This window comes from Homo sapiens, chromosome 12, assembly GCF_000001405.40.
Source record: "Homo sapiens chromosome 12, GRCh38.p14 Primary Assembly".
In the NCBI taxonomy this organism is placed as follows: Eukaryota; Metazoa; Chordata; class Mammalia; order Primates; family Hominidae; genus Homo; species Homo sapiens.
In genome coordinates, this window is record NC_000012.12 from 52,144,821 (window position 1) to 52,151,479 (window position 6,659).

At 60.3% G+C, this 6,659-nt stretch overlaps 2 annotated features.

Annotated features, from left to right (window-relative positions):
* Window positions 2,545-2,839: an enhancer, noted in NCBI's record as "tiled region #3292; HepG2 Activating DNase matched - State 9:DNaseU, and K562 Activating DNase unmatched - State 8:EnhW". NCBI's record gives its function as "activates a minimal TATA promoter and a strong SV40 promoter by Sharpr-MPRA in HepG2 cells, with weaker activity in K562 cells {active_cell/tissue: HepG2 | K562}" and the evidence as "EXISTENCE:reporter gene assay evidence [ECO:0000049][PMID:27701403]".
* Window positions 4,899-5,713: an enhancer, noted in NCBI's record as "H3K4me1 hESC enhancer chr12:52543503-52544317 (GRCh37/hg19 assembly coordinates)". NCBI's record gives its function as "activates a minimal SCP1, AML or CMV promoter by ChIP-STARR-seq in primed H9 embryonic stem cells {active_cell/tissue: H9 hESC(primed)}" and the evidence as "EXISTENCE:reporter gene assay evidence [ECO:0000049][PMID:30033119]".

Sequence of the window (6,659 nt, forward strand, 5' to 3'; positions counted from 1 at the left end):
CGTAGGGAATCGAGGTTAGATGACTAGAAGAACTTCCTGGCGCAGATCTGGGGAAGCCCTGGCCCAGAGGCCTGGCCTTTACCCATCCCTGGATCCTCTGCCTCTCCCCAGCTCCCACTGTCCTCAGACACCCCTTGCCCCTGTCTGGGATTCTGGGGGTGAGCCCCGGCCTGGCCGAGGCCTGCTGCAGGGTGAGAGTTATGTTCCAGCTCCATTGAGTGATAAGTGCCACACTGCGACCTCTCTGGGTCTTCCCTGCCCACTACGGTGGGGGCGTGGGGCCCCTGCTCCATGGGCTGGGCTTCTGACAGGACAGTGGCAGGCCAAGGAAAGGACCTACCAAGCCCACCTTGGCTTGAAGGCTGAGGGGGTGAGAGAGGGCTGGGCGGGCCTGGTGAGTCTGGGGCACCTGGGCCTGCCTGCGAGGGTCCCTGAAGCATTGTGACAGTGACTGCAGCAGGAGGACTTCAGGCTGAGGCTGAGGGAAGAGTCCCAGCAGCTTCCTGGGAAGCAGAGGAGGGTGCTGAGCTCAGCTTGTGTGTCCCTGAGTGGCAGGCCTGGGCTTTCTGGGAATGCAGCCTGGGCCTGAGGGCAGGCGAGGGAGGCCAGCCAGGGGTCCTGCACCACCGCCCCCACCCACTGCCGGCCCCAGTCTGGCTAGGAGAGTGGGGGGTCTCCATTTCAGCCTGCTGGGCCTTTAGAGTAGGGCAGGGACTGGGGTGCTCTGGGGGCGGGGCAGGATCGAGGGGTGTGGGGTGAGGGGGAAGATGAGTCCCCTGGGCGTATTGGAACCCATGCCAGGGGCCTGGGTTTGACTCCCTCCCCTAAGGTGCGCATTCCCAGGGCCTGGGGGAGAGGAGTGGGCTTGGGGCTGTGTGCAGTGGGGCCCTGAGCTGGGAAGGCACGGAAGTGCCTGCTCTGACCCATCCCCCACCTCCGCAGGGCAGGCAGGCTGAGGCCTGAGTCTGAATGACCCCCTACAAGTCTTGCCATAAAGCCACTGGTGCTGGGAGGGCGTCTGCTGTTCTTAGTGGGGAACACGTCATGTCCCCAGCCCCTGTCCCTCTGTGTCAGCTCCCAGCCTGGGCGTGCACAGTCGGGTGCAGCAGAGGCTCCTGATGGCTGGACAGGGGGCCAGTGTGGGCGCAGTGTGGGCAGTCTGAGCACAAGTGGGGTTTGTGGGCAGTGTGGATGCTGGGGGGCTTAGCGGAGGGTTACTGGAGACGATAGAGGTGTGCGGTGCTCCTGGGCTATAGAATAGGGAGGAGGATTAGAAAGGGCCTGGGAAGGCAAGGCTTGGAGGGCTGGTTAGGTTTTGGAGCAGTGGTTGGGCTGACAATGGAATTTTGGGCACACAGATGATCTGAGAGGGGTGAGGGTCAGAGCTGGGGTTTAGGATGGGATTGGTTTAGGGCTGGGTTGTGAGGATGGAGTAGGGCTTGAGCACAGAGAAGCAAGTAGAGTTTGGGGCACAGTTCAAATTTGGGGTTAGGGTTGGGATTAGTACCATGTCAGATGAAGGGATGGATTCAGGGCTGAGGGTGAGGGCCATTTGCAGTTAGCACCGGGCACAGCTCGGGGTTGGGTGAGGCTGGGTCAGGGCGAGGGCTTCTGGGGTAGGATCAGGTGCGTGGGGCCTGCTGAGAGTGTCCGAGGATCTGCTCGTTCTGCCCTGTGGTGTCCCTGATGGGCTTTTTCTCCCTTTTTGCAGGGTTGCTCTCAGCTATGGCCTTGGTTGGAGACCCAGCTGGTGGCCAGACCCCACCACCCTTTGGGTTTGGACCAGGGCTCCAGGAGGTGGCATCCTGCAGTGGAGCCCCAGACTCTCCAGGGATGGAGTATCAGCTGAAGCAGGGGCCCCCATTTCACACTGGAAAGGGCCTGGGGTTTGGGGTTCCCCCCTGCCGGGGAATCCAGGGTCCCCACCCCTGCCTGCTGCCTGCCCTCCTGCCTCGGCCTCACTCTGGGTCCTTGTCTGGGAACCTTAGCACCTTCTTTGAGCCGCTGGTGGTGTTGGCGCACTTAGCAGAGCAAGCCCTGGCCCCTTTCCTCACAAACCTCACTCCCAGGTCTAGGCGGGGAGGCTGGGCTGCTCCTCATTGTCTTAAGCAGAGCGGTCACCTGAAGGCCTGGCCGTCTCACCTTGTCATGATTCCTCCACATTTGAGAGTGACGGAGGGGCAGGGAGTCAGGGCTGTGTCCACAGTGTGTCCTCAACCCAGACTGAGCCAGGCCCATGGCTCTCACTGAGGTCCTCTCCTTCTGCCTTGGTTTCCCTCTGAGTCCAGCCCCATGGGGAAGCTGGGCTCCTGGGCCTCAGGCCTGATGCTCCCTGTGCCAGGGCCTGTCCCCTGCTACTGCACTGAGCTGGAGTCGGGGGCCTGGTTGTGGGCTTCTGCTCCTGGTCTCAGCGAGACCTCCAGGCTTCCTTGGGCCCAGCTCCTCATCTCAGCCGGTCGCACCTGGGCAAGTCCAGTCAGTGTGAGGGGCTACTTCGGTTTCCTCACTGTGGCAGGGATTGGGGGAGCTCCTGAGCCCTGGGCTGGGGTGGGTCCGGAGGGGTGGGGGCTCCTGGCTGGGCTGGGTGTGCCTGTATGTGACTCAGGCTGGATGCCCAGGCCCTGAGCTGGCGGCTTTGTTCTCCCACTGGCCGGGTAGGGTGCGTGCTGCAGCCCTGAGTCACCCGGGTGTGGCCGAGCTGCTGGCGGGACACCAGAGCCATACACCGCCACACTCACAGAGATCCACACACTGGAGCTCAGGACACGGCGCCCTGAGAGCGGAGGGCCCCCCTGGTGTGGGTGCCGTCACTGGTGCCTTTCCCTCGGTGGTGCTGTGAGACATTCCCAAGAAGCTCCTTGGTGACTAAGGGCCCTGTGCTCCTGGAGCAAACTCAGCTGTTTGCTGAGAAGGCCTTCCTTCTCTTCGTGGTTACTCCCTGGTTAGGGCCTGGAGGGGGACCTGCAGGCACAGCTGGAGACCCTGAGGGGCACACAGAGCCTTCCCCCGCTGCCTGATAAAGGGCATATGCAGGTGACCATGTGCCATCTGTCCAAACTGTGCACCCACTGGATCCTTGAAACAGTTCTGAGAGGAAGGTGCATTGTTCCCACTTTACAGATGCGGACACCGGGGTTGCTAATAGTTGTCCAGAGTCACCCGACTAGCATGTGTCCCACTGGGACGCTCCTCCTCAGGTGCTCTGTGTGGCCTGGTCCCGGCCCTTCCTCCACTTCAGTCCAGCTCACCACTAGGACCCCCTCGACACCACCCCTCGCTCAGTCAGGCAGGGGCCCACAGGGCCTGGGGCCAGATCTTCCCATGGGGAGTTGTGTCACTGTCCCTCCCAGGCATGGGGCCTGGCGCCCAGGCCCCTCCACTGCCTCTGAGGATGAAGACACAGGGCTCTGCTGGACTCCCTGGAGCGGCCCTGACCTGCTTTCTCTGGGCTAACAGTGGGAGGTCCTGGGGGACCTCCCTACTTGGGGGATCCAGGCCTCACTGCCCCCAGGGACAGCGCAGGAAGTGTGTGCATATCTGTGTGTGTGGGATGGGGCAGGAGAGGCAGCTTGGCTTATACCGGGTGTTGGGGGAAAGCAGTGCAGGTTCGGGGAACCTGGGCCCTGAACTGCATGTGGACAGCCCCCTCCCACAAGGGTGAGGATGGGCACACAGGGGCCCTGCATCCTAGGCCAGGCTTGGGTTCTCGGAGGCCAGCTGGAGCTCGCCTGCTTTTCTCAGGTAGACCAGGGTCTGCTACAGACCCTGCTGCCCCCAGAAAGGCCTAGCCTGGTGCAGTGGGGTGAGCGGGCGGGGTGTGGCCCCAGGAGCTGGCCCCACCCCCTGCACCACCCTGCTTTGTCAGAAGCTGTTTGAGGCAGAGAATAAAGCACCTTATTAGGTAAGAAATGCCTTCTGCCAGGTGGGGAGAGGCCAGGCCCGCCTCTGCCCCCAGGCCTGCCTGCCCCGCCCTGGCAGAACACCAGCTTCTGTGGCATCTCAGTCCTGGCCCGAGCCCAGCAACCCCACACCCCCTCACCCCATGGAGCTCCGGCCGTCCTGCCCCAGACTTGGGTGGGGGCACCTGGCATGGGGAAGCCTGGCCCTCCCACCTGGGAGGCAGAAGAGGCAGCCTCACGAGTGTCAGCTTGGGGGCTGTGTGACCTTGGCCAGGTGACCCCTCCTTCCTAAGCCTGAACTTTCTCTTCTATACAATCAGCGGGTGTGCAAGGGGCCTTGAATTCTCCTGAGGCTTCTTAACCCCATTGGGTGTCCCTCCACTTACAAACACGGGCCCAGGGTGCACCCGTCTCCAAGGGCGTAGTCTCAGCCCCCTTGCTCCAAACCCAGAGCTTGCCTATGGGGCTCCCCATCTCTGTTCCAGGGAAGCAGGGGTCCAGGGCAGGTCAGTCAGTTTTCCAGGCAGGGCAGCCTGCTTGGCTTGGCTAGTTACAGCAATGGGGCCTTGTAGAGACAGGACCTGAGGAAGCTGGCGCTGCCTCCTTAGACCTGTTTCTCTGCCAGAAATGCCTCCATTTCCAGCTGTCAACTAGAAGCCGACCGTCCCCAAAGCCCCCAGGCCAGGCCTTAGGTACAATGTGTTTTGCATCTTCTGTTGCCCGTTGGAACTTGGCTTTGGAGATAAAAGTCCTGACTCCACATTTCCAAAGTGTCTTTTAAGCATTATCCGGTTTGACTCTTATCTACAGGACACTTTGGCAAATGAGGCTTCACAGCATGGCTGGTGCTCTCTGCCCTGGAAAGGACAGTAAAGGAAGGGAGCCTGTCTTGTCTCTGTCGGTCCTGGAAAGATTGGAGCTGGGGGCGTCCTTGGATAATGTCTAGACCAGCCTCCCACTGTGGAGTCCAGATTGGCCTAGAGCCCAGGATCCTGCCCCCTCCTCCTGCCCCCTGTCCTGGCCAGAGGCTGCCTGCTCTCCCTATTCCATGTCTTTCTGGCCCAGCCAGGGGACACAGGGTTGGGGCAGGTTCCAAGCCTCCACCTCATGGAGGATCCCTGCTGTGGGCCTTCCTTCCCTCTGCCTCTGTCCCGTGGAGCCTTCTGGCTTTCCCATTCCTAGCATAGCAATTGCACAGAGGTTTTGCAGGAGGACTGACAAGGCAACTTCTGCTGTGCGAAGAAAACAAGGCAAGACACTTGACCATGGCCGCCATGCACAGCTGCCCTCTCCCGTTCCCAGCCTCCCCTGCATGGAGTGGCCCTCAGAGGCTTTTTGCGCTCCCCTGGCCAAGTGCACAAAGGGCCCTTCAATTCCAAGTTCCTGTGGCTGCACCCCCTCCTGAAAGCCCTGGGGCTCAGGGAATCCCCCAGTATCATGCCAGTTTGGAATCCAGGAAGTCCTAGCAGGAAGTTCTCCCTGTTGCCTGGCTCCAGTCTCTCCTGCTGTGTTTCAAGCCCCTTCTCTTCTTGCCCTGTCCTCTGGAGGGAGCAGACTGCCCAGTGCTCAGGCCACAGTAAGTTGGAGGTCAGAGCCACAGGGGCCCTAGTTCTCTCCTGTTTGTCCCTATCTGTGGGTTTTGGGCAAAGTGAGGCTCCTTGCTGAGCCCCCACTGGGGATGCCCTCTGTTCTCCTTCCACTGGCTTGTCCTGGCTTTCCACACCTCACGCACGCTCTCCTCTCCAGGAAGCACTGCCTGCTGCTCCCCCCCGTCTAGCCTTGATTCTGCATCTTAGTCGGTCCCCGCATCCTCTCTGTGTCCCCTGCCAGCCTGTGTCCCCAGTGCCTTCGACAGTGCCTGACACTAGTTGGTGCTCAATAAGTATTTAAGAGCTTGAACAGTTTCCACAATGGGGAACTCACTACCTCATTATGGCACCAAACATTGTGGGAAGCTCTAATTCTTTGAAAGGTCTTTCTGGCACGGAACTGACACCTACCTCCCATCAACCTCCATTCTGGGGAAGGACACACAGGGTCTCCACCCTCTTCCCAGGCCAGCAGCCCTTCAAACACATGCTGAGAACCATGGTCAGCTGACTCTTCCTGACTTTCCAAATGGAAATTGCAGAGTAGACCCTGTAGGTCCAACCCGCTAGGGCCTTTGCTTTGGTTCACAATGCTTTACCTGGGGGCATCTGAACACCACATGTAAACTTAGACTATCTTTTTCTCCTGGGCTGTAGGCTGATACTAGGCCCTGGAGGGGGTTAGAGAGAAGAGGGGACTGCAGGGTCTCTTCAGATCACCACCCCCTCTGGGTCACTGATGTGCCTTCTTTGGGCCTGGACCAGGATTCATGAGAAGGTTCTAGAAGCCAGGAGGGCCAGGGCATGGGAGGCAGAGGGTGTGGCTTCTCCCAGGGCCTGGGATCAGAGAAGGCCTGAGAGCAGAGTTACAGTCTGTGAACAACTGTTAGTGAGCACTCACTGGATACAAAGCCCCATGACCCTGAGAGAGGAGAGCACATTTTAAAGTGAGTTAGCCCAGGCCCGCCCTGAACCCCAGATGCGCGGGTCTGATGTTGGCCTTAGAAATGGGCTCTTCCAACTAATTCAGGGACTGAGGGCCCAGAGAGGGACATATGCTGCCTTGGGCCACACAGCAGTATGTGGTGGCTGGGACTCGAGGTGGTGTTCCTTCCCCAGCATCTACTCCCCAAGGAACTGCCTGAGCTCCCTGGCAACTCAGTAGCGGGGA